A 20,779-nucleotide genomic window follows, 5' to 3' on the forward strand; every position below is an offset into this window, starting at 1 on the left:
GAGGAAGAAAGGAGAGTAGAATTGGTTTACTGGATGACATGGGATATTGGTAGAAGACAAATTAAGGGAGGTACACATAGCAATTGCAAAAGATATAAACTGCCATGCTAATTTATGTTTTTGTTTGAAACCCAAAGAAGTATACATTTTATCTTGTAATTTTTTCTACATGTTAATATTAAAATAAAATTATATCTCCTGGGCAAGTGACAACTCTTAGTTGAGGAATTTTGAAGTGTCAAGCTCTGAAAATTTGTTACAAATATTCCATTAAATAAATATTCTTTATACAAATAACTAACAATTTGGTTGTAATTCATTATGCACTTAGTATATTACACACTTAACTTATGACAGTAATAGTCCAAGGGTCTTTGAAGCATCAACAATATTTTATTTATGGACGGTACACTAAATTTTTTCAAAGTACTTCACTTACAGTTTCTCATTAGTTCCTAGATTTTACCAAATTACCTATGACATGATTTCTATGTTAACCCTTATCCTTACACAGGTCATTTCATAAGCTATATTTATCAAAACTGAGCACTTAATTAAATATTGAAAACTATGCTATTGTATAGCTTTAGGAAAATGATAATGTCTGCAAGGTAAGTAAATATATGACTGCATTTTTTAAAATTTGAATGTTAGTTGGTTTAAAACAGAAGTTGGCAAACTATGGCCATTGGGCAAAATTTGGCCTCTGTACCTGTTTTTTTAAATAAGGATTCATTGGAACACAGCCATGCTCATTCATTGACATATTGTCTATTGTTGCTTTTATGCTACAATGTCAACCATGAGTAGTTATGGAATAGGAGGTATGATCCACAAAATTTAAATACTGTTTGTTCCTTTACACAGCAAGTTTGTTGAGCCCCAATTTAGAGGTTGCTGGATAGAATGAAAAGCGAATGACTTGGCAAAGAAAATGCTTTATACTCTTCAGCTCAAATAAAGATGAAGTATAGAACTATTGAGTATCCTAGCAAGAAACAGAATAATTTGACCCAAACTTCAAATGAACTGAGCTTAATAAATAAACTATTAGTAAAGGTCAATCAACAAAGGATATTGAAGCAACCTTCCAGCAATTGTAGAAACCCATCACCACCACTAGTCCTTCAGGGGCAAGGGGAGGAAAGAATGTTTCAGGAGTCCAATGAGCATGGGAGATAGAAAATAAGGGATTCCCAGCAGGAACTGTCATCATGAGGAGATCTAACCACTGCCAAAACTGAAGAGAGTGGGAAATAAATACTCCTATGTCTCTTTTCTTCTGCTTCACTCTTCAGCTGGTGTCATCTACTTGCCGAATGGACGGTGAGACAGCCTAGGAGGCAGTGCCCAGGGTTCAGCCTACTGGATCACAGCTTATGTACAAAAGGACAGAAAACGATTTGAAGTGAGGCAGAGAGAACCAGAAACTAGCACAAGTGACCAGTTGCTAAACTAGATTAATAGATCTTACTGGATTAATGTGATCTCTCAATTTCTTCTTTGTTTTGATTTAATCACTTTAAAAAAGAGTAAAATAATGCATAAGAATATTGGATTAGAATAAAAATTTTAAAAGGAAGTGTTAAGAGTGAAAAGAACTTGGGAAATGACAATAGTGACAGATTAATGACAAAGAGCACATTTTAAAACCTGACTGCCATGAACAGACATTTCTATCATTTTAAATGAAATTGTATTTATATGTTCAGTTTGGCTTGTTTTTAAATGTACTTTTCATAGAAAATTTTAATTATACACTTATTAGATACCTTTACTTGGATGATTCAATAAATCCAGGCATGTCCTTTTCTATTGTGTGCTATCAGTCCATAGTACCAACAACAGTAAAGTTACATAAGCCAGAAATAGAAGAGGCATTTTTGACATCTTCATCTCTCTTACAATTTGTCAGCAATATTTGTTGGTTTTATTTTCTAAATATATCTTATATTTCTCCACTTCTGTCCATCTCCACTGCCAATAATCTAGAGCGACTTTCATCTCTTACCAGGATTGCTTATTAACTGATCCCCATTTATCAACTCAGACCTGCACAAATTGTAGAACATTTATTTTAAAACTGTCAAAAGTGAAATGTCTCCCTTAAAATTCTTCAGCAAGATTTGCTGCTTAGAATCTGAACCAAAATCTTATAAAATTCTGGGTCTAAATCCTGCCTTCCTGGCAAGCTTCATCTCCCATAAATTGCATTTAAACCTTTGCAGCCCAGACACTCAGCTCCCTTAGTTCTTCACAGTTATACCACATTCACGCCCACCATAAGGCCTTTGCACAGGTTGTTCCTTTCATCTGAAATGATCTGTTCCCAACACAGCCACCTTCTACTTGATTGAGTTAACTCTTTCTAATCCTTTAGCTTTCAGCTAGGTGAAGCTTCCTCAGGGTAATACTTCTTTAATTACTTCCAGATTATTTGTAATATTTTTTCATAGACCCATGTTACTTTCAGTTTGCAGTTATGCATAACCAAGGGGACGATTTGGTTAATATCTAGGAAGATAATGTAAGTTTCACAGAGCCCAGACATGTTTTTGATCACCAATTTATCCTTAGCACCTAGCACAAAGTATAAATTGAACAGGTTCTCAGTAATTACGTAATACTTGAATAGGTGTTTTTATGCAAGTGGAATATAAATGCTGAGTTGCTAAGAGATGGAATGTTCTGGTTTAAAACTAGATTTGCGAATTCAAATCTACTCTTCTATAGCCAGCTTTGTGTTGCTGTTGGGGTTAGACGGCAAACGACTTTTCCTTTGTAAACTGGCTTCCTGCCAATACGGAGAACTAGAGGAAAAATTGGAAGCTAGGAGAAAGGAAAGAGGGATTTCCCCCTTTCTCTTAACTTTTATTTTTACTTTTAGCGGCTTGAGATATGACTGATATACAAAAAGCTGTTTAATGCATACAACTTGATGTGTTTTCAGTTAAATATACACTGTCAAACTATCAATGCCATAAATGTATCCATCTTCTCCTAAAGTTTTCTTTTATTCTTCCCATTTTTCTCCTTTTATGGTAAAGGCATTTAATATAAGTTCTATCCTGTTAGAAAATGTTTAAATATTTGCTTTAAACTGGGCCAATGGGAGAGCAGTGAATTGTGGGTATGGATGCTTTCCCTGTCAATATTACCATCTGTAAACTTGTGGAATGACTTACTCCACACATATATCATGCGATATTTTTCATCACCAAAGAACTCATTTTACTGTGAAAGAGGTAGAGCAATGGTCATTCCCATAGAATCAATGGTCTTACCACAAAACCTACCACTCTGAAGAAGCTGGTCTGAGAGTATGGTTTTTTTCAAAAGCCTATTAAAGACTCGGTTATGGTGCCAGTTTGAAAATAAATGCCTTGAAATATTGGGCACTGTGGTGATTAATATTAGGTGGCAACTTGATTGGATTGAAGGATGCCTAGGTAGGTAATTAAATATTGTCTCTGGATATGTCTGTGAGGGTGCTGCCAGGGAGATTAACATTTGAGTCAGTGCACTGGGAGAGGAAGACCCACCCTTAGTGTAGGTGGGCACCATCCAATCGGCTGCCAGCGCAACTAGAACAAAGCAGGCGGAAGAAGGTAGGATAACCTGGCTTGCTGGGTCTTCTGGCTTTCATCTTTCTCCCGTGCTGGATACTTCCATCCGTTCCTCTTGCCCCTGGATATCAGACTCCAGGTTCTTTGGCCTTTGGACTGTTGGACTTAACAGTGGTTTGCCGGGGGTTTCTCGGGCCCTTTGGCCTCAGACTGAGGGCTGCACTGTTGGCTTCCCTACTTTTGAGGCTTTCGGATTCAGACTGAGCCACTACTGGTTTCTTTCTTCCTCTGCTTGCAGATGGCCTATAGTGGGACTTCGCCTTGTGATCCTGTGAGCCAATCCTCCTTAATAAACTCCCTTTTATATATCCATATATCCTTTAATTCTGTCCCCCTGGAGAATCCTAATACAGGCACTATCTTATATATTATAGATTGTATATTTAATCGGCAATCAATACATAGTGCTCTTTTTTCCGGAAGAAGTAAAAATGACTCTTCTTGCTATTACACCTAATAATTCATTCAGAGAATTTTTATTCCTGACGCAGGAATTTGGGGACTACAGCTTTGAGGTCTTAATTATTAGGGGAGGAAAGCTTTTATCAGAACACATAACAACGGCTCCATTGATCTCAAAGTTAAGATCATCACTTGACCATTTTGGGCTCTATGTCAATTAGCCAATACATAAAGAAGAAGATAATAGAAATAATGGCTCCTGATTATTAACAATAAAATAGATTTTTGCTATATGATGACTTTGTCTGAAACACTGGGAATTCTATCAGATGATTATTACTCCCATATCCGAAGATAAAAGTTAATGGAAAACCACTGTGGGGGAAAGGTGATTTTTTTTTCTAGTTAATCATCAGGTAAAGAATCACAACAATAGAAAATGTTGACTTAAGGGAAAATGGAATGACCTATGGAATGAGTTATAAATATCAACTACAACTTTATGGCCATTTGTAGAAAAAAAGGACAGTAGTAGCTGTACATACCATCTCTTTGGTTATTATATACACATATATTTGTCTATGTTAACTAATTTGATTTTTCCTTTCCCTTTCCTCTTATCATTTCATATAAGGATTATTGGAAATTGTTAATGTTAGAATTTATTCTTTAGCTTTCCATACATTCAAGTAGAACTGTGACTGAATTAGAGGAGTATTATCATTGCTTGCGGATGGAGACAGGTACTGTTGGAATTTTGTGTCTATCCTTTTTGGAATGAGGATGAGTAGTACATCTTTGTTTGCACAAAGGCTAGTTGATTCTTGTTAAAGAGAAGCATATAATGTTGTTCAAATAAATGTATATAAATGCTTAATAACTAAAACAGTGAAATGTGCTTGTTTTTAAGCTCTTGTCTCTGGTCCAAATCTATTCTTCTGTCCTCACTTTGCGATGTTGAGCTGAGATCCAGTAGTGTGATAGAGCCAAATCATACCAACACACAAGACCCAATTGTCAAATTTTCAGGAACTTTGAGAGCTAGCTGTTAAATAGTTATTATTTTAAAAATATGTAAACCTAATATTAAATAAATACTAAATATAAAAAATGAATACTCAAAACATCACTACTTAAGTAATACATCTTCTTATTATCTACTTTGAAGGAATTTACATCAACTGTATTTGTATTGTATCTGAGTAATATCTTTGTACTGTTTCTTCATGTTGGTATATTGAAATCAATTATGATGGAAATATGTACACCATAAAAATAGGCAAGCTCTAAAAATAAGGGCTTTTTCAGAATCTGTTAAACATATAGCAGTATACCACTAATTGGGACACTGTAATAAAATTTTATTTATCAGTTAATCATCTTAATAGGTTGTGACAATAGATGCCACCATCACAGGGAGATTAAAAGGCGGGATGATAAGAGAAATTTCCTTCTTCTTGTTTGATTGCTATTCTTGTTAATAATTTAATGCCAATATAAGCACTTCACCCTGGCAGCAGCAGTTGGCTCTAATCTTCGCTTATTTCAACACTGCTAGTACCACACTGGATTCCAAAGAGTAATAGTTTGAAATCTTAGAGATAGGATGATAAAATGTAGTTACATCTCAGTGATATTGTGGGTTCAGTTCCAGGATACCATAATGAAGTGAATATCACAATTAAGTGAGTCACACAACTTTTTATTTCTCAGTGCATATAAAATTTATATTTACACTATGGTTTAGCTATTAAATGTGCAATGGTATTTTGTCTAAAATATGTGTATTCCTTAATTTAAAAATACTTTATTGCTAAAAAATGTTAACAGTCATCTGAGTCTTCACTGAGTCATAATCTTTTTCTTTGATGGAGAGCCTTCCTCAGTGATGTTGGCTGCAGACTGATTAGGGTGTGCTTGCTGAAGGTTGTTGTGGCTATGGCATTTCTTAAAATAAGATAACAATGAAGTTTCCCATGTCAATTGACTCTTATTTTCACAAAAGATTCCTCTACAGCATGCAAATGCTGTTTGACAGTAGAACTTCTTTCAAAATTGGAGTCAATCATCTCAAATTCTCCACTGTTTTATCAACTAAGTTGATGTAATACCCTACATCCTTTGTTATTTCAACAATGGTCACAGCATTTTCCTCAGAAGTAGATTCTATCTCAAGAAACCACTTTCTTTGCTCATGCATATGAAGCAACTTTTAATCCATTCAAGTTTTTATCTTGATTTATAGCAATGCAACCATACCTTCAGGCTCTACTTTTAGTTCTAGTTTTCTTGCTATTTTCACTTCATCTGCAGTTACTTCCTACACTGAAGCCTTGAACCTCTCAAAGTCATCTATGAGAGTTGGAATCAACTTCTTCCAAGGTCCTGTTGATGATGGTACTTTAGCTTCTTCCCATGAATCACAAATGTTGTTAATGGCATCTAGAAGGGTCAGTACTTTCCAGAAGATTTTTTGCTTACTTTGCCCAGATCCATCAGAGAAATCACTATCTACTCCAGATACAGCCTTAAAAAAATGTATTTCTTCAATAATAAGACTTGAAAGTCAAAATTACTCCTTTATCCACGGGCTGCACAATGGATATTGTGCTAACAGGCATATCACATCGATCTTCTTGTACATCTCCATCAGAACTCTTGAATTACCATGTACATTGTCAAGGAGATGTAATATGTTGAAAGAAATATTTTTGCCCATGCCTATGTCCTGAATGGTAATGCCTAGGTATTCTTCTAGGGTTTTTATGGTTTTAGGTCTAACGTTTAAGTCTTTAGTCCATCTTGAATTAGTTTTTGTATAAGGTGTAAGGAAGGGATCCAGTTTCAGCTTTCTACATATGGCTAGCCAGTTTTCCCAGCACCATTTATTAAATAGGGAATCCTTTCCCCATTGCTTGTTTCTCTCAGGTTTGTCAAAGATCAGATAGTTGTAGATATGCAGTGTTATTTCTGAGGGCTCTGTTCTGTACCATTGATCTATATCTCTGTTTTGGTACCAGTACCCTGCTGTTTTGGTGACTGCAGCCTTGTAGTATAGTTTGAAGTCAGGTACTGTGATGCCTCCAGCTTTGTTCTTTTGGCTTAGGATTGACTTGGTGATGCGGGCTCTTTTTTGGTTCCATATGAACTTTAAAACAGTTTTTTCCAATTCTGTGAAGAAAGTCATTGGTAGCTTGATGGGGATGGCATTGAATCTGTAAATTACCTTGGGCAGTATGGCCATTTTCACGATATTGATTCTTCCTACCCATGAGCATGGAATGTTCTTCCATTTGATTGTATCCTCTTTTATTTCATTGAGCAGTGGTTTGTAGTTCTCCTTGAAGAGGTCCTTTGTGTCCCTTGTAAGTTGGATTCCTAGGTATTTTATTCTCTTTGAAGCAATTGTGAATGGGAGTTCACTCATGATTTGGCTCTCTGTTTGTCTGTTATTGGTGTATAAGAATGCTTGTGATTTTTGTACATTGATTTTGTATCCTGAGACTTTGCTGAAGTTGCTTATCAGCTTAAGGAGATTTTGGGCTGAGACAATGGGGTTTTCTAGATATACTATCATGTCATCTGCAAACAGGGACAATTTGACTTCCTCTTTTCCTAATTGAATACCCTTTATTTCCTTCTCCTGCCTAATTGCCCTGGCCAGAACTTCCAACACTATGTTGAATAGGAGTGGTGAGAGAAGGCATCCCTGTCTTGTGCCAGTTTTCAAAGGGAATGCTTCCAGTTTTTGCCCATTCAGTATGATATTGGCTGTGGGTTTGTCATAGATAGCTCTTATTATTTTGAGATACGTCCCATCAATACCTAATTTATTGAGAGTTTTCAGCATGAAGGGTTGTTGAATTTTGTCAAAGGCCTTTTCTGCATCTATTGAGATAATCATGTGGTTTTTGTCTTTGGTTCTGTTTATATGCTGGATTACATTTATTGATTTGCATATATTGAACCAGCCTTGCATCCCAGGGATGAAGCCCACTTGATCATGGTGGATAAGCTTTTTGATGTGCTGCTGGATTCGGTTTGCCAGTATTTTATTGAGGATTTTTGCATCAATGTTCATCAAGGAGATTGGTCTAAAATTCTCTTTTTTGGTTGTGTCTCTGCCCAGCTTTGGTATCAGGATGATGCTGGCCTCATAAAATGAGTTAGGGAGGGTTCCCTCTTCTTCTATTGATTGGAATAGCTTCAGAAGGAAGGGTACCAGTTCCTCCTTGTACCTCTGGTAGAATTTGGCTGTGAATCCATCTGGTCCTGGACTCTTTTTGGTTGGTAAGCTATTGATTATTGCCACAATTTCACAGCCTGTTATTGGCCTATTCAGAGATTCAACTTCTTCCTAGTTTAGTCTGACTTCATGTCTAAAACACCAAAAGCAATGGCAACAAAAGCCAAAATTGACAAATGGGACCTAACTAAACTAAAGAGCTTCTGCACAGCAAAAGAAACTGCCATCAGAGTGAACAGGCAACCTACAAAATGGGAGAAAATTTTTGCAACCTACTCGTCTGACAAAGGGCTAATATCCAGAATCTACAATGAAGTCAAACAAATTTACAAGAAAAAAACAAACAACCCCATCAAAAAGTGGGTGAAGGACATGAACAGACACTTCTGAAAAGAAGACATTTATGCAGCCAAAAAACACATGAAAAAATGCTCACCATCACTGGCCATCAGAGAAATGCAAATCAAAACCACAATGAGATACCATCTCACACCAGTTAGAATGGTGATCATTAAAAAGTCAAGAAACAACAGGTGCTGGAGAGGATGTGGAGAAATAGGAACACTTTTACACTGTTGGTGGGACTGTAAACTAGTTCAACCATTGTGGAAGTCAGTGTGGCCATTCCTCAGGGATCTAGAACTAGAAATGCCATTTGACCCAGCCATCCCATTACTGGGTACATACCCAAAGGATTATAAATCATGCTGTTATAAAGACACATGCACACGCATGTTTCTTGCGGCACTATTCACAATAGCAAAGACTTGGAAACAACCCAAATGTCCAACAATGATAGACTGGATTAAGAAAATGTGGCACATATCCACCACGGAATACTATGCAGCCATAAAAAATGATGAGTTCATGTCCTTTGTAGGGACATGGATGAAGATGGAAACCATCATTCTGAGCAAACTGTCACAAGGACAGAAAACCAAACACCACATGTCCTCACTCATAGGTGGGAATTGAACAACGAGAACACTTGGACACAGGAAGGGGAACATCACACACCAGGGCCTGTCGTGGGGTTGGGGGAGGGGGGAGGGATAGCATTAGGAGTTATACCTAATGTAAATTAGTTCATAGGTGCAGCACACCAACATGGCACATGTATACATATGTAACTAACCTGCACATTGTGCACATGTACCCTAAAACTTAAAGTATAATAATAATAAAATAAAAATAAAAATAAAAGAAATATTTTTTTCCTGAGCAGTAGGTCTCAACAGCAAGCTTAAAGTGTTCAATAAACCATGCTGTAAAGAGATATACTGTCATTCGGGCTTCATTGTACCATTATGGAGCATGGGCAGAACAGATTTAGCATAATTGTTAAGGGCCCTAGAGTATTCAGAATGGTAAACGAGAATTTGCCTCAACTTAAAGTTACCAGCTGCATTAGCCCCTAACAAGAGAGTCAGCCTGTTCTTTCAAGCTTTAAAGCCAGGTATTGACTTCTCCTTTCCAGCTAAGAAAGTCCTAGATGGCATTCTCTTCCAATAGAAGGTTTTTTTGGTCTATATTGAAAATCTGTTATATAGTGTAGCCACCTTCATCAGTGGTCTTAGCTAGATCTTATGGATAACTTTGCTGCAGCTTCTACGTCAGCATTTGCTGCTTCACCTTATGCTTTTATGTTATGGAGATGATCACTTTCCTTAAGCCTTATGAACCCACCTCTGCTAGCTTCAGACTTTTCTTCTGCAGCTTTCTCACATTCATAAAATTGAAGAGCGAGTTAGGGCCTTGCTCTGGATTAGGCTTTGTTGTGGTTGATTTAATCTTCTATCCAGACTACTAAAACTTTCTCCATATTAGCAGTAAGGCTATTTTGCTTTCTTATCAGGCATGTGTTCACTGGAGTAGCACTTTTAATTTCTTTCAAGAACTTTTTCTTTATATGCACAACCTGACTAACTGTTTGGCTCTAGAGGACTACCTTTTGGCCTGTCTCAGCTTTCAACATGCCTTCCTCACTAATCTTAATTATTTCTAGTATATTACTTCAAGTGAGAAATGTGTGACTATTCCTTTCACTTGAACACTTAGAGGCCTTTGTAGCATTATTAAGTAGCCTAATATCAATGTTGTTTTGTTTCTGGGAATACGGAGGCCCAAGAGAAGGAGGGAAATGAAGGAATGGCCAGTTGGTGGAGCAGTCAGAACATACACATTTACTGATTAAGTTTACCATCTTATATGCGTGCGGTTCACAGTGCCCCAAAACAATTACGTTAGTAACATCAAAAATCACTAATCAAAGATCACTATAACAGATAAAATAATAATGAAAAAGCTTGAAATATTATGGTAATTAATAAAATGTGACACAGAGTTACAAAGTGAGCACATGCTGTTGAAAAAATGGTACCCATAGACTTGTTTAATGCAGGGTTGCCACAAACCTTCGATTTGTAAAATACACAATATCTGCGAAACATAATAGAATGACATATGACTATATGCCTAATTCCTATTGAATTTTTCACCTTTGACCCTATTCAAAAAGAGACCCAGCCTGGTTTTGACAGTTCTTAAATTGGATTCTATTTAATCGTGTTATATTTTTATTATTCATTGTAATTTGATATTTAGTATATGATATCTGACAGACGTTATATGCTAAATATACTCATGTCACAAATTTCTCAAATCTTTTTGGTCCTACATGTTTCCTTCTCTTCTCCTCCTGAAGTTACTTCTTAAAACTCATGGAATTATTCTTTCTGTAGCTAAAAACAAATAATGTTATCTTTTAAATTATTTATTATTTTCCTCATATTCAAAATAGAGTCTATGAACACCTCTCCTTCATTTACATGAAGAACTACTTAAAAATTAATTATAACAATGTCAACAGATTTATATAAATGTTTAATTATTTTTTCATGAGCGAATATTTTAAATTACTGACAATTGAATCACACACCCACACAGTGAAACAATCACATCATTCTTATTGTGAAGTATAATAGTGAAAGTTAGGCCAGATGGTCTTGTCTTATTTTATTCTGTTTTTTCTTTTTTTTTTTTTTTTTTTTGGTAAGATTCATACCTAGTTAGAGAAGCCTTTTGTGAACTCTTATATCTTATATGATGACCTAATTTATCTGTTAATGATCAACAATACAAAGTTAACAATAATCCTTTATTTTTGTCATACATGATGCCTTGCTCATATAATATTTATTCACATTTTTTCTGCTATAATATCTTCCAGTAACAGTGTGTTAGTGTGTATACATCCAACGTGTGTAAGCAAAGCTTTCTTCTTTTTCATATTGCTATTTATTACATTTAGTGATTAGCTATTCAGTGGGAAGCACTAGTAATAGTTACTAAATTTTCATATTTTACAAGTGACTACTGTTAAATATAATGTAAATATACTCTTTACAAATATAAAAAAATGCCAGCTTTCAGCAATATCTTGGATTTGTAAACATGTCATGTAATTTACCCTTGTTTTCCTTATACTTCATTTTGTAGTATTATTTTCCACCTTCTGAAATATAGAGCTTTGTTAATGTGATGGAAGCCTCACTAATACAGCCATTCATCTCTTAATGACGGAGTCATGTTCTGAGAAGTGTATTATTCAGCAATTTCATCCTTGTGCAAACATCGTAGAGTGTACTTACACAAACCTATGGTATAGCATACCACACACTTGGGCTTTGTGGACTAGCCTATTGCTCCTAAGCTACAAACGTATACATGTTACTGTACTGAATTCTGAAGGCAATTGTAACACAATGGTATCTGTGTATCTAAACATCTCTTAACAAAGAAAAGGTACTGTAAAAATAGGATATCATAATCTTATGGGACCACCTTCCTGTATGCGGTCCATCATTGACTGAAATGTCATTATGTGACACATGGCTTAAAATAATTTAGCACCCATTCTTCTGCCTTCAGAAAGATCTTAAACAAAATTACCCCATATACACAAAACACTAATGTACCAAGGGACTGAAATTTTAACTCTCTAAAAAGGAAAATGGCTTATTACTGGCAGTTCAGGTAGATCAGGAGAGAGCTGGTTAAGTGCCTATAATTGATTTAAGAGGGGACTACAAAATCAAGAAGTTTCAATAATGTCTTCTCATATATTATGTTAAGAATCATAAGAAGTGACTGTGAAATACAATTAAACTAAGGTAATTAAATAATCAAGTGACCTGGTCCACTTGTGTTTGTTCAGGTTATTTAGAGATTCCCCAGGCATATCACATTAACTTGATCATACTTAATATTCATCAATAAAATAATTTATCTCTAGAAAAATTTTTTTCTTAAAGATATAAGAAAAAATCAGGATATTATGAATTTATGGGTCTTTGTGTTTTCTCTTAATATTTTTAAATATGAAAACCCTCCTAGAATTCATAGAGTAGATGGATTTATCATTGCTAGTATTTTAATCATTTTTTGCCTATTGCATTATTTTTAAGAAAATCTCATTGAGGTAAATTACATATTATATACTATGTAAATTTCCATGCAATAAATTCACAGCAGATGTACACCAAAATTGGTATACAATTTTTCAGGCTTCGATAAATGGGTGTGGTTGGATAACACTACATTCAGCATGTTGCATTTCATCATCCTCAAACTCTTTGCTCATGTCCCTATGCAGACAATCTTCCTCCCAACTCCAGCTGCTGGCAATGTTTAATCAGTAATCTGTCCCCGTAGTTTTTCCTGTTTCCTAGTGTCACATCAATGGAGTTTGAAATTAATCCATGTTGTTGCAAATATCACTAGTATATTTCTTTAAATTACTGAAAAATAGTTCACTGTGTGGATGTGCCACAGTTTATTTCATTCTTCAGTTGAATGAGTTGAATGGCATTTGGATATTTTCCAGTTTTGGTTAAGTTTACATAAAACATCTCTAACATTTATGTGTAAGTTTTTCTGCGTGAACCCATGTTTATTCTGTTAGGTAAATACTTAAGAGCAGACTCGCTGGTTGGGTGGTAACGTAGGTTTAACTTTAGAAGAAATTGTCAAACTGATTTCCAAATAGCTATGATGTTTTGCATCCCAACCAGCAATGTATGAAAGATACAGCTTCTACAATTTTTTTAGCACATCTTATTGTCAGTTTTAATTTTTGTTTTTGTTTTTTTTAAATGACCAGCCTAAATATGTTTGTAATTTATCTCACTGTGGTATTAATTTATATTCCCTCAATAACTAATGTTCATCATTTTCTCATATGTTTATTTCCCCTTTCTCATACATTTATCATCTGATCAAGCACTCATTAAAACTCTTGCCTATTATTTTATTGGGTTATTTGTTTTCTTAGTATTGAGTTGTGAAAGGTTTTTAATATGTTCATAATGCAAGTTTTTTTATTAGATTACTATGTGGAAATTTTTCTCTTACTCCATAGCTGATATTTTCACTCTCTTAACAGTCTTTCAAAGAACAGATGTTTTTAATTTTCATAAAATTAATTCATCAACAAAATTCCTATAGATTGTGTTTTTGGTGTCATATCTAAGAAATATGGGTCACAACAATGTTTGTGTATTGTTTTCCCACCCATATCATGGTCTTATATTTAACAGATCTATGATGTATGTATTTCGAGTTATTTCCTTATATGGTATAAGTAATGGGTTGAGGTTCATTTTGTTGGATGGATGCCTAATTATTCAATTATTTTTTGAAAAGACTATATTTTTTCATTTACTTAGCTTGCATTTTTGTCAACAGTCAATTTATCATATGTGTATGGTTCTATCTATAGTCTCTCATATTGGCCTTGTATACTGTGCCATTGCTTATTTACTTAATACTTCCAGTAGCTTTTTTGTAGATACTTTGAGATTTTTTTCATAGATGTAGTGTTTAATTTTATGTGTCAACTTGAGTGGGCTATAGAGTACCCAGATATTGGGTCAAACATTGGTGTTGCTGGGTGTTTGTGGATGAGTTTAACATTAAATTGATAGGCTGAGTAAAGCATGTTGTCCTCCATAATGTGAGTTTGTCTCATCCAATCAGTTGAAAGCTTGAATAGAACAAAAAAAAGGTGACCCTCCTCTGAATAAGAGGCAATTCTTCCTGCCTGATACCCTCGAAACTGAGATATTGGGTTGTTTTCCCATCTTCATACTCAAACTGACACGTTAGTTCTTCCTAAGTTTAAAGCCTGCCAGTCTGGAACTACACCATCAGCTCTTCTGCTTCTGAGGCTCTTGGACTCAAACTGGAACTCTACTATTGGCTTTTCTGGGTTCCCACCTTTCTATTGCAGTTCTTGGGACTTATTAGCCTCCATAATTGTGTGAGCCAATTCTTCATAATAAATCTTTTTCTATATACACACAAGTCCTATTAGTTCGATATCTCTGGAGACCCCTGACTAATACAGATTGTGGAATCAATAGTAGTTCTAGAAGAACAGAATATTAAGGTTGGGTTTTCTGAATTGATTGTGGGGTTTCTAGAATTGTCTCTGTAATCTGATTAAATTTAAAGACACTAATAATTCTATTCCCAGTAGTAAAGAGAGCACTGATACCTCATCTGGCAAGAGATATCCCTAATGTCACTATTGAACACTCAACAATGACAAATTATGAATCAATTACTTATAAGAAGCAAGGATGTGGGTGACTGTGTAGCATCTGATAATTCGAAACGTTAATGAGATGGACTGGTTGGTCATAATGTCACTGGACAAAGTGAGCAAAGAAAAGCATACGGTCAGGGATTCAAATTTTTAGCTCAGGTGTTGGATAAATTACCTGAAAGCTGCCAAGTACGCCCTGAAAGAGAGAGACCTTATCGCCTCAGTAGAGAGTAGAATGGTGGTTCCCAGAGGCTGGGGGTAGGGGGAGTAGATGGGGAAAGGGAGATGTTCGTCAAAGGGTACAAAGTTTCACTTGGAGAGGAGGAGTAAGTTCTGGTTATCCACTGCACAGCATGGTGACTATCATTAATAGTAATGTATATTTTTTAAATGGCTAAAGAGAGGATTGTATTCATTCCATATTAAACCTAGGAATATGTTGTTGAGGATTTTCTGAGGGATACGTTCATGAGGTATATTGATCTCTAGTTTTCTTATGCTAGTCTGATTTTATTTAATAATATTGGCTTGTAAAATTTGTTGGGAAATATTTGCCTTTTATATTTTCTGGAATATTTCATGTAGACTTGGTATTTTTTCTTTCTTAAATGTTTAGGGTAATAACGTGTAACAAAAACATGCATATATATTCCCTTAAACTAAAATAAAAGTTGAAATTATTTTAAAAATAGGTCAGAAGAGAAGGGTATAAATGCGTATCACTGTGGTTGGTAATTGTGTGTACTCAGTCTTATAGCTGTGGTTATAGAAGTGTTAGGGATTTTAGACTTTAGGAATTTAGACATTAGCAATTTTGATCTATAGGGATTTCAACATTCAAGATTATGGCATTTGGGATTGTGTGTTTTGGGATTATGATCCAAAACCGGATGGCCCTCTCCTGCCTGCCCCAGGAATGTGAAATTATCCAGCCTTTCTGGACATTTCAGCAAAATACAGCAAGGGAATTGAAAATGCTCAATCTTTGACAAAGTATTTTTAGTTCTGGGACTTTATGTTAAGAATGTTCCAACATAAGGGCCGGGTGCAGTGGCTCACGCCTGTAATCCTGGCACTCTGGGAGGTCGAGGCGGGCAGATCACCTGAGGTTTGGAGTTCGAGATCAGCCTGATTAACATGGAGAAACTCCGTCTCTACTAAAAATATATATATATACAAAATTAGCCGGCCGTGGTGGTGCATGCCTGTAATCCCAGCTACTTGGGAGGCTGAGGCAGGAGAATCACTTGAACCCAGGAGGCGGAGGTTGCAGTGAGTTGAGATCTTGCCATTGCACTCTAGCCTGGGCAACAAGAGCGAAACTCCACCCCAAAAGAAAGAAAGAATATTCCAAAGTATACAAAGAGACTTATGTATACAGATACTTAATTTAGGATTATTTATCATAGGAAAAAAGTTATACACTATAACTTTTATGTTCTGTAAAATGAAAGAACACTTACACAAATCATGACTCTAAGGTAACTTCAGTGTTGTGTACAGAACTTCAGGAACATATTCAATTAAAGTTGTTGCACGTGAACCTCAGCTTCCTCTACTGTACATTGGGGATCAGGTGGGGGCCAAGTGAAATTACTGAAGTGCAGGCCCAGCGTGCAGGGCACAGGTGGGCACCAGTGGAGGGGCATTGCATGGCCCCATGCTCCCCACCAAAACTGTGCAGAATGATTCAGAAGGAAACATTTCCAACAGTTAATAAAGACCAACAGCCTCCAGTCTTAAGTAAATAAATAAATATATATAATAAATATATATATATGTATATAGTAATTAAACAGTGAAGCTAGAGTTAATTTGGATAAAAAAAGACTTTAACTAAAATTTAATTTATTTAATTGATTAGGATTATTTGAGTTCACCATTTCTTATTGACTGAGGTTTGAAAGTTATGTCTCTTAAGGAATATGTTCATTCATTTAATTTTGTGGGCCTAAAGTTTTTAATACATTTTATCCTTATTCTTTTAATGTGTGTGGGTCTTCATTTAGATTATTTCTATCATTCCTGATATTGCTAATATGGTTCCCTCCTCCATCTTTTTTAGTGGAGATAGAGGTTTATCTTTGTTTAAATCTTTGACAAACAACTTTTGGTATTACTTTTTTTTCCTATAGTTTTAGATCTATGGTATAATGTATTTTATTATTTTGGAGAGTTGTAAATCACTATTCTTTTAAAATATTTTTTTTCTCTGTTCTTTCTTCTCCTTCTGAGATTCCAAACACATTTATTTTAAAACATTTGATATTATCCCATAGCTCTTAGATGCTCTAATCTGGGTTCTTTGCTACTGTTTTTTTTTTTAAGGTTTCATTAGAACATTTCTATTGAACTTCTTTCAAATTCAATACTTTTTTGTCAGCTAAATTGAGTCTACTGATGAGCACACCAAAGTATTATTTATTTCTATTGTCTTGATTTCCTTTTTCTAGTGTTGGGGTTCCAAATATGATACCCTCAAATGCAGTCGACAGAAGCAGCCTGAGAAGCAAAAGGTTTTCTCTGAGCTTCTCCCGCCCTCTTGTGTCCTTCATTGTCCCCTATGCTGGCCCTTCATTCTCCCCTATGCTTCCCATAGAAACTAGAATCCCATAGCAGGTCATAGAAGCCAGAACTCCTTTTCTCCAAAGTAAGCCATAACACCTAAAAATATTACTCTAACTTTCCCCCTGCCTTTCTGTGTAAAAACTGGCCATTAAGAAATTATCTGGCCTAAGTGGTTTAACTGTAGGTCATAAGATCCCCATTCCAGAAAGGGTCCTGTTCCATACTCAGAAGGAAGGAATGCTGCTCGGAGAGACCAGGAGAATCTATGCAGACAGGACTTGCTGGGACCCCACTCATTCTATTAGCATTAGATCATAGCCTTTTTGACCAATCATATTTCTACACGGCTGTCTATACTTTGTTGAACCTAAGCATAAAAATGCAGTTTCCCTTATATCTTTGGCTCTTCATTTTGAAGGCTTGTGTGTCACACAAAACTATGATCAAATAAATTTGTATGCCTCTTCTCCTATTAATATGCTTCTTCTCAGTGATTTTCAGCAAACCTTCAGAGGGCAAAGGAGAAATTTTCCCTTGGCCTCTACATCGATTTCATTTTATTTTTTCTTATACATTCTACCTTTCTGCTCAAATTCCTCATATAATCATGTACATTTGTACATCATCCTTTTTACTACATTCTTATTTCCTGAGAGTTTTAATGGCTGGATCATATTTGATTCTGATTCTGTTGATATATTGGTCACTGGACAAAGGGGTTTTTTCCCTTGCTTTTTCAGGTGTTTTATTATTTTTTGGTTAACAAGCAGCATTTTAGGATAGAATAAACTGAAGTAAATAGGACATATGACTAGAAATAGGTGAGCTTTCTCTTCTACTACATCTTCATTGCAGGAGTTTGAATCTGTCTATTCAAGAGTTGAACTATGTTTGGGTTTTGTCATTTCTATGATTATCCTTAATAAGCCAAATCTTAAAATTCCTGTAATTTTCCATCATGCTGACTGCAGGGATTCTGTTCTATAACAAGGTTTTTTTCTTTGAATTTGTGCCTTAGAGTCAGTTGGTCTCTCTCTCTCTCTCTCTCTCCCCCTCCCTGCCACCCAGAGGTATATCACTGTATTTAATACATAAAACTTGCATCCTGCTGGTTGTGAGTGGGGGTTATTTTTTGTTGTCCTGGTGCAGCCTTGGATTCTGGCACACCTGTGTCCCTGAGTTTCAGGGATGTTCCTTCTCCTGCTCGTCATGATAACCAAACTATGCCTTTTGTGTTTTGCAGAGCTTGTGCTAGATAGGTATTACTGCCCCTGCTTCATTGGTAGAAATCTTGAATGGCTAGACCATTAGATTTTTTTCTACCTCTCCCAAAGACTGGAAGATATTGCCTTTCATTTTCTTTTTCCCCTGCTGTAATGAGTCTTCATTTGTAAACTGAGGGATTTAGATAGGCTTGTCTGTCCTTTGCTGGGCAGCTTCCTTTTTTTTCTTTTTTCAGAGGAGGAAGAGTTGTTTCATTTTCCCCATAAAGAAGATAGGGACCCTGGGGTGGCTGGTTCTCCTCATCAAGGTCTCGCCACTAAGGTGTACCTTCTGCATTCTCCCACCCTGTCTCCAATCTTTTGAGCACATGGTGAGGTCTGTGGAGCAGAGCCTTCCCCGCAAGTGGATGCAAACTTCCTTTGTGTGTGTGTATCGCAAGGGTTCTATAGTTTATTATAGCCCACATTTAGCTTTAGAAATTAATTTAAAATGCTAGCTGAAATACTCTTAATTACTTCTCTGTCAGATTGATCTTCCTCCCATGCTCTGCTTCAAGCCAGTGTTGATTTCTCTACTTCTTCTTGGAGGTGATTATTTTTCTTTAAATTTCTGGAGATATTTTTGCTCTAAAACCTCTTTATTAGATTCAAGATAGGCTACACATTTGTAGAACATGTAACTTTTGTTATTATCATTGTTATAATGACAGCAAAGCTCTTTCCAACTTTCTGTTTCCAAAACAGAGCCAGGAGTCAATTGATTTGTTTTTAATGTCCAAAAAATGACACTTAACATTTAGAAACTAGAGAATTTTCTTTTATATAAAGATACGCTAAGTGTATGCTCTGTTCTTCTAGTGAAGCATTAGAAAAAAAGACACATTTAAAACCAGTTTCCAATGGCTTCTAGAAAATACATGAACTCAAAGTTAATGCCATGTTAGTCAAGTAATCCTATAATGGGAAGTAATGCACATGTTAATTAATTAGCTTGATTTAGCCATTTCACAATGTATACAAATATCAAATCATCATGTGGTACATCATAAATATGTATAATTTTTGTCATTTTTTAATTAAAAATCTAAAAATTAAATAACTGTATAAACATGTAAAAAAGTATTTTTTTTCTAACAAAAAACTCATTAATTTGTTTGTGGTATTTTAAGTTCAAATCCTAATTCAGCTAATAACATATTAGCACTTTTATTCTTTCAGTTATTCCAGAATTTCTAGAGACAAGGCAATTTAATGGTGGTAATTTATGCTATTAGACCTAGTTAAATTAAATAATTAGCACATTGTTTACACAAACAATTAGCAATTCTGAGTGCTCCAAAACCTTCAAGCATCACTGTCACTTGATCCATATGGTATAATATCCTTGAGGGTATGGGAGGTAGATAAGGATGCCAAATGGAGTGCTTAGGAGACTGCAGTAGGTGAAATTCAGTGCATTAATTCTATACTTCTGGATAAGGCCATCCTCTCCACAGCAGAGAATTATTATTCATTAGAAATATGATATCTACTGTGCCTTTGAGCCCTGGGAAAGATTGAGTGTGTCTAAACTGTTACAGTAGGTAACTATGAATTTTAGCTACCTATTAGGACATGTATGATTAAATCTACCAAATTTTATGACAAGCAAGGGCAGCACCAGTCTTTTGAGGGAAGTGATATGTATCACCCAAGTTTTTGCTGTAATAATGCTACATAACAAGTAACAAGAAAATCTCAGTACCTTACAAGAGCAAACATCTATTTTTCTTGACCATGGGTTTTTTAGTTGGCAAAAATAACTCCAGGCTGCCAGTTAGATTTAGTTCTGCTTGACATGTCACTCATTTTGAGACCAGTAACTATCCATGACTTGCTTCTCTCACGATAAATAGCAGAAGTTCAAGGGGAAGGAGGGACAAATGGAAACACACAATGCCTCTTAAACCTTCAGCTCATAATTGACACAATGTCACTTCTGCCTCTATTCCACCTCTGCTTCTGCCAAAGCAACTCATAGGGCTAAGTCCAAAGATATAGGATAAAGAAGCATATACTGCTGTGGGGTGCTAGAAGCAGAGCTTATGAAGAATTGAGAGAGGAAAAA

The sequence above is a fragment of the Homo sapiens genome, chromosome 2, assembly GCF_000001405.40.
Source record: "Homo sapiens chromosome 2, GRCh38.p14 Primary Assembly".
NCBI lineage: Eukaryota > Metazoa > Chordata > Mammalia > Primates > Hominidae > Homo > Homo sapiens.